This window comes from Homo sapiens, chromosome 1 (genome assembly GCF_000001405.40).
Source record: "Homo sapiens chromosome 1, GRCh38.p14 Primary Assembly".
In the NCBI taxonomy this organism is placed as follows: domain Eukaryota; kingdom Metazoa; phylum Chordata; class Mammalia; order Primates; family Hominidae; genus Homo; species Homo sapiens.
This window is the reverse complement of record NC_000001.11, coordinates 47,150,679-47,174,311: the sequence shown is the minus strand read 5'-3', so window position 1 is coordinate 47,174,311 and position 23,633 is coordinate 47,150,679. Positions and strand designations below refer to the sequence as shown.

Here is a 23,633-nt window from a genome sequence, read left to right as displayed (position 1 = left end):
TGTCACCCAGGCTGGAGTGCAGTGGTGCGATCTCTGCTCACCGCAACCTCCGCCTCCCGGGTTCAAGCAATTCTCCTGCCTCAGCTTCCCGAGTAGCTGGGATTACAGGCGCACGGCACTATGCCCGGCTAATTTTTGTATTTTTAGTAGAGATGGGGTTTCACTGTGTTGGCCAGGCTGGTCTGGAACTCCTGACCTTGTGATCCGCCCCCCCTTGGCCTCCCAAAATGCTGGGATTACAGATGTGAACCACCGCGCCCGGCCTGCTTGCAATATCTTGAACAGCCACAAGATGGCAGAACTTATATAGTTACTGGTTCAGCATTGATCGTCCCATGAATGTGAAGTTTACTTTTTGTCCTTTACCTGTTCAGTTGGGCACTGCCCTGGTGTTATGGACTGAATGTGAAAACTGATGAGAAGATCAATACTGGACCAGGAACTCCCCCATTACCAGTGCATAGAGGGGAGTCTGCCCAGGCTGGGGGTCTGAGTGGAGTGGCCATTGATGGATCCTTGGGGAGATGTGAGGGCAGATAGAACCCTGGCTAGAAGTCAGGTGTTCGGGATGCTAGAACTGGCCTTGCCCTGCCTCAAGTTCAGCTACCATTCATTTCTTGAGGACTATCTCTATGCCGTATTTTGTCCAACCACCACAGTGAAAGCACCCATCACCAGGGTTTGTGTCTTAGGCAGTTGGTTGTTTTATAGAGGTCTCAGGCAATGCAAAGCCCAAGACAAAACTGTGTGGTCATGGCGACCTGGCAATCTTTATTAAAATGGAAGCTCTGATGGCTGAATTTGTAAACCAGGTCGTTGTGATGCAGGAAAGTATTCTGGCAAGGGTGGATGAGTTTGGTAATGTTAGACACCACTTCTGGGCAGGAGTCTAAGGGTTCCGGAAGAGAAGAGGTGGAGCAGCATACTAACGGATGAAATGACTGGTGGCGAATGAGTTTACTTCTTGTCCTTTACTCATAACCTGTTCACTTGGGCACTGCCCTGGTGTTATAGACTGAATGTATGTGTCCCCCTCAAATTCATGTGTTTAAATCTTAGCCCCCAGTGTGATGTTATTAGAAGGTGGGGCCTTTTGGAAAAAATTAGGTCATGAGGATGGAGCCCTCATGAATGAGATTAGTGCCCTTATAAAAGGGACCCCAGCAAGCTCTCTTGCTCTCTTTCTGCCGTGTGAGGACACAGCGAGAGGACAGCAGTCTGCAGCCCCGAAGAGAGCCCTCACCAGCACCTGACCACGCTGCACCCTAATTTCAGACATCCAGCCTCCAGAACTGTGAGTACTATGCTGAAGAGAGCCCTCATCAGCACCTGACCAACCTGACCATGCTGCACCCTCATCTTAGACGTTCAGCCTCCAGAACTGTGAATACTATGCTGAAGAGAGCCCTCACCAGCACCTGACCATGCTGCACCCTCATCTCAGATGTCCAGCCTCCAGAACTGTGAGTACTACATTTCTGTTGCTTATAAGTGATCCATTCTGTGGTATTTTGTGAGAGCAGCCTGAATGACTACCTTGTGACTGAAGGTATACTTCATAATAGTGTTCGGGGTCACTGGGAAATGTGTTCAGAAGATTTCAGATGTGCATCAGCAATGGTCTTCTTCCATTTGTCCTGGAAAGAGATGAAAATCACATCACAAAAATGCTCATCAGTGTCTACTGGCCCTTTTCCTTACATATGCCTGAAACTCCAACCTCTATGGGTGCCTTTTAGTGCTTGTTTGGGCTGTGACATAGAGAGAAATTGAACAAAATAAATGTACAGTATAATTACAACTACTGTAAAGCAAAGCAATTTGCAAACATCAAAAGGAAATCCTGTGTCCAAACTGCCTACGTCCTATGGACCACACTGTGGGGCTCTGACAGTATTCTGTGTGACTGCCAGAAGATAACTTGACCCTCTTTAGCTAAAGGTAACACCAACCAGAGTCTCTATGATCTCTCACACACAATGCTCAGCATTTAATAAGAAATCAGTAGGCATGATGACCCATTCACCAAAAGCCAAAGAAAAACCAAAGCAGACAACAGAAATAATCCCATAGGAGAAACAGATATTGAGTATTCAGACAGAAATATTAAAATAGCCATGATTAATATGTTTTAGAAAATAGAGAGAAAGATGGAGCATCTCATCAAAGAGTTCCATCTATAAAAAGAGTGAAATGGGAATTCTGTAATTTTTATTTTATTTTTAATTTATTTATATATATATACATATATTTTTTATTATAGTTTAAGTTTTAGGGTACATGTGCACAACGTGCAGGTTAGTTACATACGTATACATGTGCCATGTTCGTGTGCTGCACCCATTAACTCGTCATTTAACATTAGGTATATCTCCTAATGCTATCCCTCCCCCCTCCCCCCACCCCACAACAGGCCCCGGTGTGTGATGTTCCCCTTCCTGTGTCCATGTGTTCTCACTGTTCAATTCCCACCTATGAGTGAGAACATGCGGTGTTTGGTTTTTTGTCCTTGTGATAGTTTGCTGAGAATGATGGTTTCCAGCTTCATCCGTGTTCCTACAAAGGACATGAACTCATCCTTTTTTATGGCTGCATAGTATTCCCTGGTGTATATGTGCCACATTTTCTTAATCCAGTCTATCATTGTTGGACATTTGGGTTGGTTCCAAGTCTTTGCTATTGTGAATAGTGCTGCAATAAACATACGTGTGCATGTGTCTTTATAGCAGCATGATTTATAATCCTTTGGGTATATACCCAGTAATGGGATGGCTGGGTCAAATGGTATTTCTACTTCTAGATCCTTGAGGAATCACCACACTGTCTTCCACAATGGATGAACTAGTTTACAGTCCCACCAACAGTGTAAAAGTGTTCCTATTTCTCCACATCCTCTCCAGCACCTGTTGTTTCCTGACTTTTTAATGATTGCCATTCTAACTGGTGTGAGATGGTATCTCATTGTGCTTTTGAATTGCATTTCTCTGATGGCCAGGGATGATGAGCATTTTTTCATGTGTCTGTTGGCTGCCTAAATGTCTTCTTTTGAGAAGTGTCTGTTCATATCCTTTGCCCACTTTTTGATGGGGTTGTTTGTTTTTTTCTTGTAAATTTGTTTGAGTTCATTGTAGATTCTGGATATAGCACTTTGTCAGATGAGTAGATTGCAAAAATTTTCTCCCATTTTGTAGGTTGCCTTTTCACTCTGATGGTAGTTTCTTTTGCTGTGCAGAAGCTCTTTCATTTAATAAGATCCCATTTGTCAATTTTGGCTTTTGTTGCCATTGCTTTTGGTGTTTTAGACATTGAAGTCCTTGCCCATGCCTATGTCCTGAATGGTATTGCCTAGGTTTTCTTTTAGGGTTTTTATGGTTTTAGGTCTAACGTTTAAGTCTTTAATCCATCTTGAATTAATTTTTGTATAAGGTGTAAGGAAGGGATCCAGTTTCAGCTTTCTACATATGGCTAGCCAGTTTTCCCAGCACCATTTATTAAATAGGGAATCCTTTCCCCATTTCTTGTTTTTGTCAGGTTTGTCAAAGATCAGATGGTTGTAGATATGTGGCATTATTTCTGAGGGCTCTGTTCTGTTCCATTGGTCTATATCTCTGTTTTGGTACCAGTACCATGCTGTTTTGGTTATTACAGCCTTGTAGTATAGTTTGAAGTCAGGTAGCATGATGCCTCCAGCTTTATTCTTTTGGCTTAGGATTGACTTGGCAATGTGGGCTGTTTTTTGGTTCCATATGAACTTTAAAGTAGTTTTTTCCAATTCTGTGAAGAAAGTCATTGGTAGCTTGATGGGGATGGTATTGAATCTATAAATTACCTTGGGCAGTATGGCCATTTTCACGATATTGATTCTTCCTACCCATGAGCATGGAATATTCTTCCATTTGTTTGTATCCTCTTTTATTTCATTGAGCAGTGGTTTGTAGTTCCCCTTGAAGAGGTCCTTCACATCCCTTGTAATTTGGATTCCTAGGTATTTTATTCTCTTTGAAGCAATTGTGAATGGGAGTTCACTCATGATTTGGCTCTCTGTTTGTCTGTTATTGGTGTACAAGAATGCTTGTGATTTTCGCACATTGATTTTGTATCCTGAGACTTTGCTGAAGTTGCCTATTAGCTTAAGGAGATTTTGGGCTGAGACGATGGGGTTTTCTCAATATACAGTCATGTCATCTGCAAACAGGGACAATTTGACATCCTCTTTTCCTAATTGAATACCCTTTATTTCCTTCTCCTGCCTGATTGCCCTGGCCAGAACTTCCAACACTATGTTAAATAGGAGTGCTGAGAGAGGGCATCCCTGTCTTGTGCCAGTTTTCAAAGGGAATGCTTCCAGGTTTTGCCCATTCAGTATGATATTGGCTGTGGGTTTGTCATAAACAGCTTTTAATATTTTGAGATACGTCCCATCAATACCTAATTTATTGAGAGGTTTTAGCATGAAGCGTTGTTGAATTTTGTCAAAGGCCTTTTCTGCATCTATTGAGATAATCATATGGTTTTGTCGTTGGTTCTGTTTATATGCTGGATTATGTTTATTGATTTGCGTATGTTGAACCATCCTTGCATCCCAGGGATGAAGCCCACTTGATCATGGTGGATAAGCTTTTTGATGTGCTGCTAGATTCTGTTTGCCAGTATTTTATTGAGGATTTTTGCATCGATGTTCATCAGGGATATTGGTCTAAAATTCTCTTTTTTTTGTTGTGTCTCTGCCAGGCTTTAGTATCAGGATGATGCTGGCCTCATAAAATGAGTTAGGGAGGATTCCCTCTTTTTCTATCGATTGGAATAGTTTCAGAAGGAATGGTACCAGCTCCTCCTTGTACCTCTGGTAGAATTTGGCTGTGAATCCATCTGGTCTTGGACTTTTTTTGGTTGGTAAGCTATTAATTATTGCCTCAATTTCAGAGCCTGTTATTGGTCTATTCAGAGATTCAGCTTCTTCATGGTTTAGTCTTGGGTGGGTGTATGTGTCCAGGAATTTACCCATTTCTTCTAGATTTTCTAGTTTATTTTCATAGGGGTGTTTATAGTATTCTCTGATGGTAGTTTGTATTTCTGTGGGATCGGTGGTGATATCCCCTTTATCATTTTTTATTGCGTCTATTTGATTTTTCTCTCTTTTCTTCTTTATTAGTCTTGCTAGCGGTCTATCAATTTTGTTGATCTTTTCAAGAAACCAGCTCCTGGATTCATTGATTTTTTGAAGGGTTTTTTTGTATCTCTATTTCCTTCAGTTCTGCTCTGATCTTAGTTATTTCTTGCCTTCTGCTAGCTTTTGAATGTGTTTGCTCTTGCTTCTCTAGTTCTTTTAATTGTGATGTTAGGGTGTCAATTTTAGATCTTTCCTGCTTTCTCTTGTGGGCATTTATTGCTATAAATTTCCCTCTACACACTGCTTTGAATGTGTCCCAGAGATTCCGATATGTTGTGTCTTTGTTCTCGTTGGTTTCAAAGAACATCTTTATTTCTGCCTTCATTTCGTTATGTACCCAGTAGTCATTCAGGAGCAGGTTGTTCAGTTTCCATGTAGCTGAGCGGTTTTGAATGAGTTTCTTAATTCTGAGTTCTAGTTTGATTGCACTGTGGTCTGAGAGACAGTTTGTTATAATTTCTGTTCTTTTACATTTGCTGAGGAGTGCTTTACTTCCAACTATGTGGTCAATTTTGGAATAAGTGTGGTGTGGTGCTGTGAAGAATGTATATTCTGTTGATTTGGGGTGGAGAGTTCTGTAGATGTCTATTAGAACCACTTGGTGCAGAGCTGAGTTCAATCCTGGATATCCTCATTAACTTTCTGTCTCGTTGATGTGTCTAATGTTGACAGTGGGGTGTTAAAGTCTCCCATTATTATTGTGTGGGAATCTAAGTCTCTTTGTAGGTCTCTAAGGACTTGCTTTATGAATCTGGGTGCTCCTGTATTGGGTGCATATATATTTAGGATAGTTAGTTCTTCTTGTTGAATTGATCCCTTTACCATTATGTAATGGCCTTCTTTGTCTCTTTTGATCTTTGTTGGTTTAAAGTCTGTTTTATCAGAGACTAGGATTGCGACCCCTGCATTTTTTTGCTTTCCATTTGCTTGGTAGATCTTCCTCCATCCCTTTATTTTGAACCTATGTGTGTCTCTGCACGTGAGATGGGTTTCCTGAATACAGCACACTGATGGGTCTTGACTCTTTATCCAATTTGACAGTCTGTGTCTTTTAATTGGGACATTTAGCCCATTACATTTAAGGTTAATATTGTTATGTGTGAATTTGATCCTGTCATTATGATGTTAGCTGGTTATTTTGCTTGTTAGTTGATGCAGTTTCTTCCTAGCCTCGATGGTCTTTACAAATTGGCATGTTTTTGCAGTGGCTGGTACCGGTTGTTCCTTTCCATGTTTAGTGCTTCCTTCAGGAGCTCTTTTAGGTGAGGCCTGGTGGTGACAAAATCTCTCAGCATTTGCTTGTCTGTAAAGTATTTTATTTCTCCTTCACTTATGAAGCTTAGTTTGGCTGGATATGAAATTCTGGGTTGAAAATTCTTTTCTTTAAGAATGTTGAATATTGGCCCCCACTCTCTTCTGGCTTGTAGAGTTACTGCCAAGAGATCAGCTGTTAGTCTGATGGGCTTCCCTTTGTGGGTAACCTGACCTTTCTCTCTGGCTGCCATTAACATTTTTTCCTTCATTTCAACTTTAGTGAATCTGACAATTATGTGTCTTGGAGTTGCTCTTCTCGAGGAGTATCTTTGTGGCATTCTCTGTATTTCCTGAATTTGAATGTTGGCCTGCTTTGCTAGATTGGGGAAGTTCTCCTGGATAATATCCTGCAGAATGTTTTCCAACTTGGTTCCATTCTCCCCGTCACTTTCAGGTACACCAATCAGACGTAGATTTGGTCTTTTCACAGAGTCCCATATTTCTTGGAGGCTTTTTTTGTTTCTTTTTATTCTTTTTTCTCTAAACTTCTCTCGTCATTTCATTTCATTAATTTGATCTTCCATCACTGATACCCTTTCTTCCAGTTGATTGAATTGGCTACTGAGGCTTGTGCATTCGTCATGTAGTTCTTGTGCCTTGGTTTTCAGCTCCATCAGGTCCTTTAAGGACTTCTCTCATTGGTTATTCTAGTTAGCCATTCATCTAATTTTTTTCAAGGTTTTTAACTTCTTTGCCATGGGTTCGAACTTCTTCCTTTAGCTCGGAGTAGTTTCATCATCTGTAGCCTTCTTCTCTCAACTCATCAAAGTCATTCTCCATCCAGCTTTGTTCCATTGCTAGTGAGGAGCTGCGTTCCTTTGGAGGAGGAGAGGTGCTCTGATTTTTAGAGTTTCCAGTTTTGCTGCTCTGGTTTTTCCGCATCTTTTGGTTTTATCTACCTTTGGTCTTTGATGATGGTGACGTACAGATGGGGTTTTGGTGTGGATGTCCTTTCTGTTTGTTAGTTTTCCTTCTAACAGTCAGGACCCTCAGCTGCAAGTCTGTTGGAGTTTGCTGGAGGTCCACTCCAGAGCCTGTTTGCCTGGATATCAGCAGTGGAGGCTGCAGAACAGCAGATATTGGTGAGCAGCAAATGTTGCTGCATGATCATTCCTCTGGAAGTTTTGTCTCAGAGGATTACCTGGCCATGTGAGGTGTCAGTTTGCCCCTACTTGGGGGTGCCTACCAGTTAGGCTACTTGGGGGTCAGGGACCCACTTGAAGAGGGTCCATTCTCAGATCTCCAGCTGCGTGCTGGGAGAACCACTACTCTCTTCAAAGCTGTCAGACAGGGACATTTAAGTCTGCAGAGGATTCTGCTGCCTTTTGTTTGGCTATGTCCTCCCCCTAGAGGTGGAGTCTACAGAGGCAGGCAGACCTCCTTGAGCTGCAGTGGGCTCCACCTAGTTGGAGCTTCCCGGCTGCTTTGTTTACCTACTCAAGCCTCGGCAACGGTGGGCGCCCCTCCCCCAGCCTCACTGCTGCCTTGCAGCTTGATCTCAGACTGCTGTGCTAGCAATGAGCAAGGCTCTGTGGGTGTAGGACCCTCCGAGCCAGGCGCAGGATATAATCTCCTGTTGTGCCGTTTGCTAAGACCATTGGAAAAGCGCAGTATTAGGATGGGAGTGACCCGGTTTTCCAGGTGCCATCTGGTCACCCCTTTCTTTGACTAGGAAAGGGAATTCCCTGATCCCTTGCGCTTCCCGGGTGAGGCGATGCCTCGCCCTGCTTCGGCTCACACTTGGTGCGCTGCACCCACTGTCCTGCACCCACTTTCAGACACTCCCCAGTGAGATGAACGTGATACCTCAGTTGGAAATGCAGAAATCACCCGTCTTCTGCATCACTCACGCTGGGAGCTGTAGACTGGAGCTGTTCCTATTTGGCCATCTTGGCTCCACCTCTATATTAATATTTATCTTTGCATGAATTCAATCTCTTACCTTAACATTAAAAATATGAATTCCCTTATCTATGCCATATCCATTAATTATTATAAACTTGGGGACATTATTTATTTTATCAGTTTCAAGCCTAGCTTTATACTCCATGCTAAGTTCAGGATGAACTTCAAGTTCAAAACATGCCTTCTTAAGTATACACATGAGGAGCAGCAGCACAATTTCATTCGAAGGAAGTTTAGTAATTACGTTACAATCAGTTATATGAATAAGTGGATCATTTACACTCTCTACTCTTATAATTAACTAAGGGTATTTATGATTAATTTTCCCATCATGGCCACTTACCATCACAGAACTTAAACTTTAAATTTAAAAAGATTAACATTTACAAGAAACAACTGGACTGGGCGCTATGGCTCACGCCTGTAATCTCAGCACTTTTTGAGGCCGAGATGGGCAGAACACGAGGTCAGGAGATCGAGACCATCCTGGCTAACATGGTGAAACCCATCTCTACTAAAAATGCAAAAAGTTAGCTGGGCATGGTGGCGCATGCTTGTAATCCCAGCTACTCAGGAGGCTGAGGCAGGAGAATCACTTGAACCCAGGAAGTGGAGGTTGCAGTGAGCTGAGATCGCGCCACTGCACTCCAGCCTGGGAGACAGAGTGAGGCTCCATCTCAAACAAAAACAAACAAACAAAACAACAACAACAAAAAACTGGGGCTGGGCACAGTGGCTCACACCTGTAATCCCAGCACTTTGGGTGGCTGAGGCGGGTGGATCACTTGAGTTTGGGAGTTCAAGACCAGCCTGGCCAACATGGTGAGACCCTATCTCTACAAAAAATACAAAAATTAGCCAGGTGTGGTGGCAGGTGCCTGTAATTACAGCTACTCAGGAGGCTGAGGGAGGAGAATCACTTGAACCCGGGAGTTGGAGGTTGCAGTGAGCTGAGATCATGCCATTGCACTCCAGCCTGGGCAACAAAAGTGAAACTCCAAAAAAAAAAAAAAAGAGAAAACAAAGGGAGAGAGAGAGAAAGAAAGGAAAGGAGAAAGGAAGGAAGGAAAGAACTGGAGTGCTTCATTCATCCTAACTGAAGGAGAATGATAACTTGTGTCAGGCTTTAATGTTAAATATGCAGCAGGACCATTTGCCTATTCTTTGCTGAGTATGCTAAATATCATCATGATAAATACTCCTACATTAATTTTATTTTTAGGAACCATATTCCAGAAATTTAGACAATAACTTTTATTATTAAGACTTTACTGCTTACTATTTTATTTCTATGAGTATGAACTTCATACCCAGTATTTTATTATGGCCAATGCCTTCATTTCCTATCAAAGACTTTACTACCACTTAACTTAGCCCTACGTATGTCACATTTCAATCTTCATTGTATCATGAACTATTCCACTACAAACATGAAAATGAGTTTTAAGCTAGTTTTAAGCTAATGGTAGTTGGACAAGATTTTACACTTGAGCTGATGCTGTAATGGGTTGAGGCTTTTGGAATGTTGGGATAAGGCAAACACATTTTGGTGGGGGAGGGCCATCTTCAAGGATCAGTAGGAAGACTATAATATGCTGGATAATGACCTTGAAAGATATCAAGTTCTAATCTATAGAACCTGTAAATGATATCTTTTTTTGGAAGAGTCTTAGCAGAGGTGATGATGTTAAGAATCAACATGGGGAGATTATGCTGGATTATCAAGGTGAGCACTAAATGTAGAAGGAGATACGACACACACAGGGAAGGCCATGCAAAGATGGAGCAGGGAGAGATTTGAAGATGCTGACCTTGAAGATTGGAGGGATGCAGCCATAACCCACGGAATGCTGGCAGCCAGCAGTGGCTGGAGGAGGCAGGGAATGGATTCTCCCCTAGAGCTCTGCAGGGAACACAGCCCCACTGACACTGTGATTTAAGCCAAACTAGTGATTTTGGACTTCAGGTCTCCAGAACAGTGACAGAATAAATTTCTGCTGTTTTTTTTCTTCTTTCATTTTGTCTCTCTCTTTCTTTTTTTTTCTCTCTCTCTCTCTCTTTCTCTCTCTCTCTCTCCTTCTTCTTCTTTTTTTTTTTTTTTTTTTTTTAAGACAGGGTCTTCTTTAAGTTGCTGAGGCTAGTCTCAAACTTCTGGGCTCAAACAATCCTTCCATTTCCACTGTTAGAGTAGCTGGGACTACAGGCTCATGCCATTGCAACTGGCTCTGTCATTTTAAATCACCACATTTGTGTTAATTTGTGACAGAAGCCCTAGGATTTTGGTAGTAGAGGTGAGGTGTGCTGTAATAAATACTCACAAATGTAGAATTGGCTTTGGAATTGAAGAATACATAGAGATTGGAAGATTTTTGAAATGCATGATAGGAAAAGCATAGACTGCCTTAAACACAGTATTAGTAGATATATGGACATTAAAATGCTTCTCATGAGGGCTCAGAGGGAAGTGAGAAGCATGGATGAAAAAGCTTATATTGATTTATAGAATAATTAGATATTCTATAAATGGATATTATTATATATTATATCTTATTAGATAATTAGATATTAGATATAATTAGATTTCACAGCTCCAGATTTTTAGAGAGATTTTATCCAAGGATGCCTTATACCCAGAGCCTCACATATACCTACACTAGATGACTTAGAAAATAAAATTGATACTTTTGAGCTCATGATATTTAGATGAGATTTTGGTCATGAGTTGATGCTATAAAGAAGTGAGGCTTTTGGGTTGTTGGGAAGGGATGAGTATATTTGCATGTGGTCTGGATGTGAGTCTTTGGGAAACAGAAGGCAGACTGTGGAAGCCTGAGTAGTGATCCCCAAAGATGTCAGGTTCTAACTCCTGAAACTTTTCTATGTTATCTTTTTAAAAAAAATGATCGTGGAGGATGTGATTATATTGAGGATTTTGAGATTGGGAGATTAATCTGGATTATCAAGGTGAGCCCTGAATGAAATCATTTGCATCCCCTTATAAGAGGGAGGCAGAGGAAGACTTGACATACATGTGGGTGAAGGCCATATGGAGACAGAGCAGAGAGACATTTGAAGATGTTGACTTTGAAGAAAGAGTGATGTGGCCACAAAGCAAGGAATGCCAGCAGCCACCAGGAGCCATAAGTGGAAGGAAATGAATTTGCCTTGGAGATTCCAGAGAGAGCGTGGCCCTGCTTTTACCTGCTTTTGGTTAGTAATTCTGATTTCAGATTCTGGCCGCCAGAACTATGAGATAATAAATTTCTATTGTTTTTAGCCACCAGGTTTCTGGTAATTCATTACAATAGCCTAAGGAAACTAAAATAGGTAGGATAACAATCACTGCTGTTAATATCTCATAATTCTTCACTTATCTATTCATTTATTTATTCAAAATGAAATATTTTCAATGTCACAGTTCAGTTGCTCAAGGCAGAAAAATAAATTTTTACGCTAAAACCTTATAAACTATGCACTGAAGGAATAAATGGTGGGCTTGGGCCACCCAGCAAAGAAGAAAATGAACAAACAATGGGGTCTTTAAGGATGAAGAGAAGTTTAACAGTTGGCAAATACTAGTAAAAGGAAATAGCACTGGCAAATCCATGAAGATCATATGCGAAAGAGTAGAAATGGGACAAGTTCATACTGGAATAATCACTACTTGTAGTTTTTTCATGGTTATTTACCCAAGGTCATAGCCAAGGGCACCAATTCAGAAACTAAACCAAAATATTTATGAGGGAGATTCCATGGAAGTCAGCTCTCCAAGGGGTCCCATTTCCTACTGCTCCCGAATCCATCTAAACTTTTACTCCCAACACCCTCCTCCTTTGCCCCACCTCATGACAGGTGATTCATTACAGAACACAGAGGGTCAGCGTTCTTTTCTTCAGGCCTGAAATACTGGGCTACTATCTAAGCCAAAGGGTAGGGACATGTAACCACTTAACACTACATTCCCCCCAACCTTCACCAGTTCTCTGGTTACATTCCACCACCCATCTCTGCCTCCCCAGTCCCCAACCAGGGACTTTTGAACCTTGACTCTTTCCCGCCTTGAGTCAGCACCTGTATTTCACGCATAGTATGAAGAACAGTAGTGAGAAGAGCTTAGAAGTCAGACAGTTTGGTTTTAAATTCTAGTTGTGAGTTTTGCTTTCCCTCCCTGAGACCCCAATTTCTTCTTTAGAGTTGGGTGTGTAATGTGGTAATAGCCAACATTTAGTGAGAACTTACTGTATTCTGTCCACCAGGCAAAAACTTTACATGGTTTCTTTCACAACAACCCTACAAAAGGGATTCTTAAAAAATGTGCCTACAGTGGGTGAGAAAACCTAAGGCATAAAGAGGGTAGCTAACTGTCTAGGATCCCCCAGTTGGTAAGAGCTGTGGCTGGGATTGTAACCCAGACAGTCAGGCTCCAGAGACTTTGCTGTTAATCATTCATGTAAAGGAGGTAATGATTAGGTTGAGCCTCCAGTCCAGATGGCAGCCCCTAAACTTTCGAGGGGGCATTTCGTGTTTGCTGTGTTTTATTCCGTGTTTCCAAACAACAGGAGATGTGTCAGATTATGAACTGCACATATTGGCATACATGGAAGTCTCACTATCCAGGGCAGCTCTTGTGAGAAAGTGAATGGCAAACTGTGGGACTAGGAGTAGCACAGTCATTGAAGATAATGAACATTATGGAGAATGTTTAATGATATGAATAAAGTGTATAAGAAAGTATAAAGGAGAATATAAAACTATGTAAAAGTATAACTCTTAGAAAAGTGTACTTGTGATTGTCAAGATTTATTAAAACATATTTTTCCCATTCATTTGCTACTTAGACATCTCCAGCAAAGACTCCTGGAAGGTGGTATCTCAGCTGCTATGTCCTTTGCTTCCCATGGCATGAAGCAGAGGACTGTGCCAGTTGATGATGCCCAATAAATACCCACTGATTGGATCAATGAGTGAGAGTGGGAATGAGTCAGACTTTGGAGTGGTTACATCATCATTTTGAAGAGACTCAGTTCAGTTTTGGGTGCCACATTGTAAAAAGCAAATCCATGTTTTGTTGCTGGATGTTTCCTGGTTCAGGGTTTAGGCCAAGAAAGGCAGAGGAGGAGCAGTCTATTCCCATGGTGGCAGCTTGAAGCAGTTACTCCTGTGGGTAGATCAGTCCAGGCACTTCTTTCCTGGGCTTTGATAAAGTTGAGTTTAATGTTGATGCAATTTTACATATCTTATTTACCTTTACTCTTCTACTAAAACTGAATAGCCCATATAGATCACTTTTGTTAAAAAAAAAAACAGGCTTTCATAAAATATAATTTGCACACCAGAAAATCTAACACTTAAAATTCAGTGATCTTAGTGTTATGTTACTTTTTAAAAATTAGCATAGCATACGGAACCTACAATTGGACACTCTAACCCATTTTAATTGTACAGTTCAATGGCATTAATTACATTCACAATTTCCCTCCTTTTATTTTAGCTCATTTGAATTTTGAGAACTTAGTTTAGAGAGGTACATAGAAAATATAAACCCAAGGAGAGAGGGATCAATTCTAGTTGGGTTCTAACTATAGAAATATCTAAAAATATTTGATGAATTTTTGTAGAATCTCTTTTCTTTTTCTTTCTTTCTTTTCTTTTACTTTAAGTTCTGGGATACATGTGTTGAATGTGCAAGTTTGCTACATAGGTACACATGTGCCATAGTGGTTTGCTGCACCTATCAACCAGTCGTCTAGGTTCCAAGCCCAGCATGCATTAGGTATTTGTCCTAATGCTCTCCCTCCCCTTTTCCCCCACACCATGACAGTCCCTGATGTGTGATGTTCCCTTCCCTGTGTCCATGTGTTCTCATTGTTCAACTCCCACTTATAAGTGAGAACATGCAGTGTTTGGTTTTCTGTTCCTGTGTTAGTTTGCTGAGGATGATGGTTTCCAGTTTCATCCATGTCCCTGCAAAGGACATGAACTCATCATCTTTTATGGCTGCATAGTATTCCATGGTGTATATGTGCCACATTTTCTTTATCCAGTCTATCATTGATGGGCATTTGGGTTGGTTCCAAGTCTTTGCTATTGTGAATAGTGCTGCAATAAACATATGTGTGCTTGTGTCTTAATAGTAGAATGATTTATAATCCTTTGGATATATACCCAGTAATGGGATTGCTGGGTCCAATGGTATTTCTGGTTCTAGATCATTGAGGAATCACCACACTGTTTTTCACAATGGTTGAACTAATTTACACTCCCACCAACAGTGTAAGAGCATTCCTATTTCTCCACATCCTCTCTAGCATCTGTTGTTTCCTGACTTTTTAGTGATCGCCATTCTAATTGCCTTGAGATGGTATCTCATTGTGGTTTTGATTTGCATTTCTCTAATGACCAGTGAGAGTGAGCTTTTTTCCCTATGTTTGTTGGCTGCATAAATGTCTTCTTTTGAGAAGTGTCTGTTCATATCCTTCGCCAACTTTTTGATGGGGTTGTTTTTTTCTTGTGAATTTAAGTTCCTCATAGATTCTGGATATTAGACCTTTGTCAGATGGATAGATTGCAAAAATTTTCTCCCATTCTGTAGGTTGCCTGTTCATTCTGACGATAGTTTCTTTTGCTGAGCAGAAGCTCTTTAGTTTAATTAGATCCCATTTATCAATTTTGGCTTTTGTTGAAATTGCTTTTTGTGTTTTAGTCATGAAGTCTTTGCCCATGCCTATGTCTGGAATGATATTGCCTGTGTTTTCTTCTAGAGTTTTTATAGTTTTAGGTTTTATATTTAAGTCTTTAATCCATCTTGAGTTAATTTTTGTATACAGTGTAAGGAAGGGGTCCAGTTTCAGTTTTCTGCATATGTCTAGCCAGTTTTCCTAACACCATTTATTAAATAGGGAATCCTCGCTCCATTGCTTGTTTTTGTCAAGTTTGTCGAAAATCAGATGGTTGTAGATGTGTGGTGTTATTTTTGAGGTCTCTGTTCTGTTCCATTGGTCTATATCTCTGTTTTGGTACCAGTACCATGGTGTTTTGGTTACTGTACCCTTGTAGTATAGCTTGCAGTAAGATAGGGTGATGTCTCCAGCTTTGTTCTTTTTGCTTAGGATTGTCTTGGCTATACTGGGCCTTTTTTGTTCCACATGAAATTTAAAGTAGCTTTTTCTAATTCTGTGAAGAAAGTCAATGGTAGCTTGATGGGAAGAACATTGAATTTATCAATTACTTTGGGCAGTATGGCCATTTTTACTATATTGATTCTTCTTATCCATGAGCATGGAATTTTGAGCAGGGAATTTTTTTCCATTTGTTTGTGTCCTCTTTTATTTTGTGGAGCAGTGGTTTGTAGTTCTCCTTGAAGAGGTCCTTCATGTCCCTCGTAAATTATATTCCTAGGTATTTTATTTTCTTTGTAGCAATAATGAATGGGAGTTCATTTATGTTTTGTCTCTGCTTGTTTATTATTGGTGTATGGGAATACTTGTGATTTTTGCACATTGATTTTGTATCCTGAGACTTTGCTGAAGTTGTTTATCAGCTTAAGGAGTTTTTGGGCTGGGACGATGGGGTTTTCTAAATGTACAAGGATGTCATCTGCAAACAGAGACAATTTGACTTCCTCTCTTCCTAATTGAATACGCTTTATTTCTTTCTCTTGCCTGATTGCCCTGGCCAGAATTTCCAATACTATGTGGAATAGGAGTGGTGAGAGAGGGCATCTTTGTCTTGTGCCAGTTTTCTTTTTTTAAAAAATATTTCATTAATTAATTTAATTTTATTTAATTATTATTTTGTTATTATTATTATTATTATTATTATTATTATACTTTAAGTTTTAGGGTACATGTGCACAATGTGCCGGTTACATATGTATACATGTGCCATGCTGGTGTGCTGTACCCATTAACTCGTCATTTAGCATTAGCTATATCTTCTAATGCTATCCCTCCCCCCTCCCCCAACCCCACAACAGTCCCCAGAGTGTGATGTTCCCCTTCCTGTGTCCATGTGTTCTCATTGTTCAATTCACATCTATGAGTGAGAACATGCAGTGTTTGGTTTTTTGTCCTTGAGATAGTTTACTGAGAATGATGATTTCCAATTTCATCCATGTCCCTACAAAGGACATGAACTCATCATTTTTTATGGCTGCATAGTATTCCATGATGTATATGTGCCACATTTTCTTAATCCAGTCTATCATTGTTGGACATTTGGGTTGGTTCCAAGTCTTTGCTATTGTGAATAGTGCTGCAATAAACATACTTGTGCATGTGTCTTTATAGCAGCATGATTTATAGTCCTTTGTGTATATACCCAGTAATGGGATGGCTGGGTCAAATGGTATTTCTAGTTCTAGATCCCTGAGGAATCACCACACTGACTTCCACAATGGTTGAACTAGTTTACAGACCCACCAACAGTGTAAAAGTGTTCCTATTTCTCCACATCTTCTCCAACACCTGTTGTTTCCTGACTTTTTAATGATTGCCATTCTAACTGGTGTGAGATGGTATCTCATTGTGGTTTTGATTTGCATTTCTCTGATGGCCAGTGATGATGAGCATTTTTTCATGTGTCTGTTGGCTGCATAAATGTCTTCTTTTGAGAAGTGTCTGTTCATATCCTTCGCCCACTTTTTGATGGGGTTGTTTGTTTTTTTCTTTTAAATTTGTTTGGGTTCATTGTAGATTCTGGATATTAGCCCTTTGTCAGATGAGTAGCTTGCGAAAATTTTCTACCATTTTGTAGGTTGCCTGTTCACTCTGATGGTAGTCTTGTGCCAGTTTTCAAAGGGAATGCTTCCAGCTTTTGCCCATTCAGTATGATATTGGCTATGGGTTTGTCATAAATAGCTCATATTAAATTGAGATATGTTCCATCAATGCCTAGTTTATTGAGATGTTTTAGCATGAAGGGGTGTTGAATTTTATCAAAGGCCTTTTCTGCATCTATTGAGATAATCATATAGTTTTTGTCATTGGTTCTGTTTATGTGATGGATTACATTTATTGATTTGCATATGTTGAACCCACCTTTCATCCCAGGAATGAAGCCAACTTGATTGTGGTGGATAAGCTTTTTGATGTACTGCTGGATTCAGTTTGTCAGTATTTTATTGAGGATTTTTACATAAATGTTCATCAGGAATAATTGTTCTGAAATTTTTTTGTTATTGTTGTATCTCTGCCAGGTTTTGGAATCAGGATGATGCTGGCCTCATAAAATGAGTTAAGGGTGAGTCCCTGTTTTTCTGTTGTTTGGAATGCTTTCATAAGGAGTGGTAGCAGCTCTGCTTTGTACCTCTGGTAGAATTTGGCTGTGAATCCATCTGGTCCTGGGCTATTTTTAATCTGGCTAGTGGTCTATTTAGTTAATCTTTTCAAAAACCAGCTCCTGGATTCATTGATTTTTTGAAGGGTTTTTTAATGTCTCTATCCCCTTCAGGTCTGCTCTGATCTTAGTTATTTGTTGTCTTCTGCTAGCTTTTGAATTTGTTTGCTCTTGCTTCTGTAGCTCTTTTAATTGTGATGTTAAGGTGTCGATTTTAGATCTTTCTTGCTTTATTTAGTGGGCATTTAGTGCTATACACTTCCCTCTAGACATTGCTTTAGCTGTGTCCCAGAGATTCTGGTACATTGTCTCTTTGTTCTTATTGGTTTTAAAGAACTTAGTTACTTCTGCCTTAATTTTGTTATTTACCCAGTAGTCATTCAGGAGCAGGTTGTTCACTTTCCATATAGTTGTGTGGTTTTGAGTGAGTTTCTTAATCCTGAGTTCTAATTTGATTGTACTCTGGTCTGAGAGGCTGTTTTTTATTATTTCCACTCTTCTGCATTTGCTGAGGTGTGTTTTATTTCCAATTATGTGGTCAGTTTTAAAATAAGTGTTATGTGGTGCTGAGCAGAATGTATATTCTGTTGATTTGGGGTGGAGAGTTCTGTAGATATCTATTAGGTCCACTTGGTACAGAGCTGAGTTCAAGTCTTGAATATCCTTGTTAATTTTCTGTCTCATTGATATGTCTAATATTGACAGTGGGGTGTTAAAATCTCTCACTATTATTGTGCGGGAGTCTAAGTCTCTTTGTGGGTCTCTAAGAACTTGTTTTATGAATCTCGGTGCTCCTGTATTGGGTGCATGTATATTTAGGATAGTTAGCTCTTTTCGTTGCATTGATCCCTTTGCCATTATGTAATGTCCTTCTTTGTCTTTTTTTTTTTGTAATCTTTGTTGGCTTAAAGCCTGTTTTATCAGAGACTAGGATTGCAACCCTGCTTTTTTTTTCTTTTTGCTTTCCATTTGCTTGGTAAATATTCCTCCATCCCTTTATTTTGAGCCTTTATATGTCTTTGAACGTAAGATGGGTCTATTTAATACAGCACACTGATGGGTCTTGACTCGTTATCCAATTTGCCAGTCTGTGTCTTTTAATTGGGGCATTTAGCCCATTTTCATTTAAGGTTAATATTATTACATGTGAATTTGATCCTGTCATCATGATACTAGCTGGTTATTTTGCACTTTAATTGATGCGTTATCTTCATAGTGTCATTGGTCTTTATATTTTGGTGTGTTTTTGCAGTGGCTGGTACTTGTTTTTTTCCTTCCATAATTTTGCTTCCTTCAGGAGCTCTTGTAAGCCAGGCCTGGTGGTGACAAAATCCCTCAGCATTTGCTTGTCTGGAAAGGATTTTATTTCTCCTTCAATTATGAAGCTTAGTTTGGCTGGATATAAAATTCTGGGTTGAAAATTCTCTTCTTTAAGAATGTTGAGTATTGGTCCCCACTCTCTTCTGGCTTGTAGGATTTCTGTAGAGAGATCCATTGTTAGTCTGATGGGCTTCCCTTTGTAGGTAACCTGGCTTTTATCTCTGGCTGCCCTTAACATTTTTTCCTTCGTTTCAACCTTGGAAATCTGATTATTATGTGTTTTGGGGTGGCTCTTCACTAGGAGTATCTTTGTGGTGTTCTCCGTATTTCCTGAATTTGAATGTTGGCCTGTCTTGCTAGGTTGGGGAAGTTCTCCTGGATAATATCCTGAAGTGTGTGTTTCAGCTTGGCTCTATGCTCCCCATCAGTTTCAGAGACCCTAATCAACCTAGATTTGGTCTTTTCACATAGTCTCATATTTCTTGGAGGCTTTGTTCCTTTTCCATATTTTTTCTCTAATCTTGTCTTCATGCTTTATTTCATTAAGTTGATCTCCAATCTCTGATTTCTTTTGCTTGATTCATTTGGCTACTGATACTTGAATATGCTTCACAAAGTGCTTGTGGTGTGTTTTTCAGCTCCATCGGTCATTTATGTTCTTCTCTTAACTGGTTATTCTACTTAGCAGTTCCTGTAACCCTTTTTCAAGGTTCTTGGCTTCCTTGCATTGGGTTAGAACATGCTCTGTTAGTTCAGAGGAGTTTGTTATTACCCACCTTCTGAAGGCTCCTTCTGTCAATCTATCAGTTTTGTGTTCTTGCTGGAGAGGAGTTGTGATCATTTGGAGGAGAAGAGGCATTCTGGTTCTATGAATTTTCGGCATTTTTGCACTGGTTTTTCCTCATCTTCATGGATTTATCTGCCTTTGATCTTTGAGTCTGATGATCTTTGGATGGGGTTTCTCTGTGAAGGTTGTTTTTGTTGATGTTGATGTTATTGCTTTCTGTTTGTTCATTTTTCTTCTAACAGTCAGGCCCCTTTTCTGTAGGTCTGCTGCAGTTTGTTGGCAGTCCACTCTGGACCCTATTTGCCTGAGTATCATCAGTGGAGGGTGCAGAACAGCAAAGATTGCTGCCTGCTCCTTCCTCTGGAAGCTTCATCCCAGAGGATGAAGCTGGCATCCGCCAGATGCCAGTCGGAGCTCTCCTGTATGAGGTGTCAGTCAACCCCTGTTGGGAGGTCTCTGGCAGTCAGGAGGCATGGGGATCAGGGACCCACTTGAGGAGGCAGTCCCTTAGCAGAGCTCAAGCACTGTGTTGGTAGAACCCTGCTTGTCAGGATCCACTGCTGTCTTCAGAGCTGGCAGGCAGGAACGTTTAAGTCTGCTGAAGCTATGCCCACAGTGAGATGGGAATTTTATCTATAAGCTCCTGGCTGGAGTTGCTGCCTTTCTTTCAGAGATGTCCTGCCCAGTGAAGAGGACTCTACAGAGGCAGACTGGCCACAGCCGCTTTGTCTCACTGTGTTGAGTTTTGCCCAGTCCGAACTCTCAGGCCATTTTAGCACTGTCAGGGGAAAACTGCCTACTCAAGCCTCAGTAATGGCAGACGCCCCTCCCCCAACCAAGCTCAATCGTCCCAGGTTGACTTCAGACTGCTGCGCTATCAGTGAAAATTTCAAGCCAGTGGTTCTTAGCTTGCTGGGCCTTGTGGGAATGGAACCCACTGAGCGAGACCACTTTGTTCCCTGGCTTCAGCCCCCTTTCCAGGGGAGTGAACAATTCTGTCTCATTGGGGTTCCAGGTACCACTAGGGTATGAAGAAAAACCTCCTGCAGCTAGCATAGTGTCTGCCTGAACAGCTACACAGTTTTGTGCTTGAAACCCAGAGGCCTGGTGGTGTAGGCACATGAGGGAATCTCCTGGTCTGCAGATTGCAAAACCGTGGGAAAAATGTAGTATTTGGGCTGGATAGCGCAGTCCCTCATGGCTTCCCTTGGTTGGGAAAGGGAGGCCCCCAGTCCTTGCATTTCCCCGGTGAGGCTGTGCCCCACCCTGCTTCTGCTCACCCTCTGTGGCCTGCACTGACTGCCTAACCAGTCCCAAACTGATGAACAGGTTACCTCAATTGGAAATGCAGAAATCACCCACCTTCTGCGTTGGTCTTTCTGGGAGCTGCAGACTGGAGCTGCTCCTATTTGGCCATCTTGGCAGCAGATCCTACAGCGTTTTACAACCATCATCACTACCTATTTCCAAAAGGTTTTCATCACTCTAAAGAAACTCTGTAATCATTTAATGATAACTCTGCCTTCTCCAAGTCCTTGTTATTCTCTACTACTTTGTCTAATCTATGAATTTGCCACTTATGAGTAGAATCATATGATATTTTTCCTTTTATGTCTGTCAAATTTTACTTAGCATACTGTTATCACTGTCATTCCTGCTGTAGTGTGTATCAGAACTTCATTCTTTTTATGACTGAATAATACTCCATTATCTGTATACCACATTTTGTGAACCCATTCATCTGTTGATGGACACTTGGGCTCTTCAACCTGATGACTACTGTGAATAGTGTTGCTGTGAACTTTGGTTTACAAGGATCTGTTCAAATCCTTGCTTTCAAATCCATTGGGTATACATCCAAAAGTGGAATTACTGGGTCCCATGGAAATTGTGATTTTATTTTTCTGAGGAACCACAAATTGGTTTTGCAAATAGGCTATGCCAATTTACATTCACCAGCAATTCATAAGAGTTTCAATTTCTCCATATTCTGTCCAACATTTCATATTTTCCATTAAAAAATAATTATAGCCTTTCTAAAGGATATGAAGTGGTATCTCACTGTGGTTTTGATTTGCATTTCCCCAATGACTAATGAAGTTGAGCATCTTTCCAGGTGCGCTTATGGATCACTTGCATATCTTCTTTGCAGTAGTTTCTGTTGAAGTCCTTTGAATTTTTGAATGGGATTGTAGTATTTTGTTGTTTTGTGTTGGAGTCCTTTACATGTTCTCATTTGATTTGTGAATATATTCTGCCATTCTGTGGGCTATCTTTCAACCCTTCTATCCATTTTTTTTTTACTTTGTATATCGTGTATGTAAAAGTTCAACATCATTCTTTTACATAGAGATATTCAGATTCCCCCTCCTTGTGCATCTTCCCTATCTCATTGATCACTCTGAGGTCTCCACCTCTCCAATTGCAATGAGACTTTCACTTACTTGATTCGCTTCCTCTTCCTCTTTTCAACCAGGTATTAGGGGTAGTAATGGGAGTGAGTGCCCACTGTCCTGTGGTCTTTGAGCATGGCCAACATGAGCCCTTGTAAATCCCCTGATGCCAGGGGACTGGCTGGCCATCCTGTCCATGATGTTCCCAGGTCACTCTCCTCTCCGAGTTTTTCCATCTCCCTCCACTCCTGGCTGACCACCGACTGTCCAGCCCTCCCCTTTCCTGCCCATTCTCAGAGCAGGACTGAATTAATCCAATGACCGGGGAACTCAGGGGACTTGGAGGGAGGTCCTAGTTGCAGGCAAAAACTAGAAGAGAAGCCCTTTCAGAGTAACAGAATGAGCTTTCAGACCTCAGGCAGAGGAAATTCTCTCTATGGCATCCAAGGTCCTGGGCTAGGAGTGGGCAATTGGTGGGAGGAACATTTGGGTTCAGATTTAGGAAGAGAAGCAAGGTCTGCATTAAGAGAGGCTGGGACAATCAGTGACACTATCCCAGGGGTAGTACATGGGGCCCGGGTGCTGGAACAGGGCCCAGGGTCAGCAGTACCAGCACCCAGGCAGTCACCAAGTGTGGACAGGGTTGAGGATGCCCCTGCCCCATCAGGGTGGCCAGCCAGAGAGGCAGAGGACAACCAAGAAGTTGGTTCCCAAGAAGTGCTGTTGGGAAGGAGCTGCTTGGGGTCTAACAGCCTCTTCCACCAGCCAGACCCATTTGCCTACCTGGGCTCCTCCCACCCCTGACTGGACAGCTGCCCACTCCATGAGCTTCCTGAGAAGCCTGCAGGTTCCATATATGAAGGAAGTTGACAGGTACCTGGTGACGTTGCTAGGCTGGGGTCTCTTTCTGCACCTCACTGGGACTGTGGAGAGCTGAGTTTACAAGGTCCTCATGACAGACCAGGCCTTTGAGGCTTTCCTGCTCAGCTCAGTGCAGCCTCACTATAGCTGGGATGTGGGATGTTCCCAACCAAACTCCTGAAGCCTTGATCCCCAACACAGTAGTGTTGGGAGGTGGGTCCTAGTGGGAGATATTTAGATCGTGGAGACAGATCCTTTATGAAGAGATTAGTGACCCCTTCCACCTCACAGGCTTGAGTTTTAGCTGTATCTGGAATGGACAGGTTTCCAAGACATCGGGATCAAAACAGAGTCTTGCTTCCTTAGTCTCTCTCCTGCTTCCTCTGTCACCATGCAATCTCAGCATATGCCACTCCCTTTTTGCTTTCTGCCATGAGTGGAAGCTGCATGAGGCCTTCATCGGATTGAGCTGCCAAAACTTAAACTTTTCAGCCACCAGATCATGAGACAAATAAACCTCTTTTCTAGATCAATTACCCAGCCTTGG

General features: G+C 41.3%; 1 long non-coding RNA gene and 1 pseudogene across 2 annotated transcripts in view, besides 1 other annotated feature; both read left to right on the top strand.

Moving 5' to 3' along the window:
* CYP4A22-AS1 (CYP4A22 antisense RNA 1) overlaps nucleotides 1-23,633 on the top strand; it is an 84,084-nt gene that overhangs the window by 5,312 nt on the left and 55,139 nt on the right. For both annotated transcript variants that reach the window (NR_189276.1, NR_199717.1), the window contains exon 5: nucleotides 1,276-1,463. This is a non-coding gene — a long non-coding RNA (CYP4A22 antisense RNA 1). The remainder of the gene's footprint in view (nucleotides 1-1,275; nucleotides 1,464-23,633) is intronic.
* Nucleotides 141-435: a silencer, noted in NCBI's record as "tiled region #13342; HepG2 Repressive non-DNase unmatched - State 12:CtcfO". NCBI's record gives its function as "represses a minimal TATA promoter and a strong SV40 promoter by Sharpr-MPRA in HepG2 cells {active_cell/tissue: HepG2}" and the evidence as "EXISTENCE:reporter gene assay evidence [ECO:0000049][PMID:27701403]".
* On the top strand, nucleotides 8,440-9,820 carry MTND1P34 (MT-ND1 pseudogene 34; annotated as a pseudogene).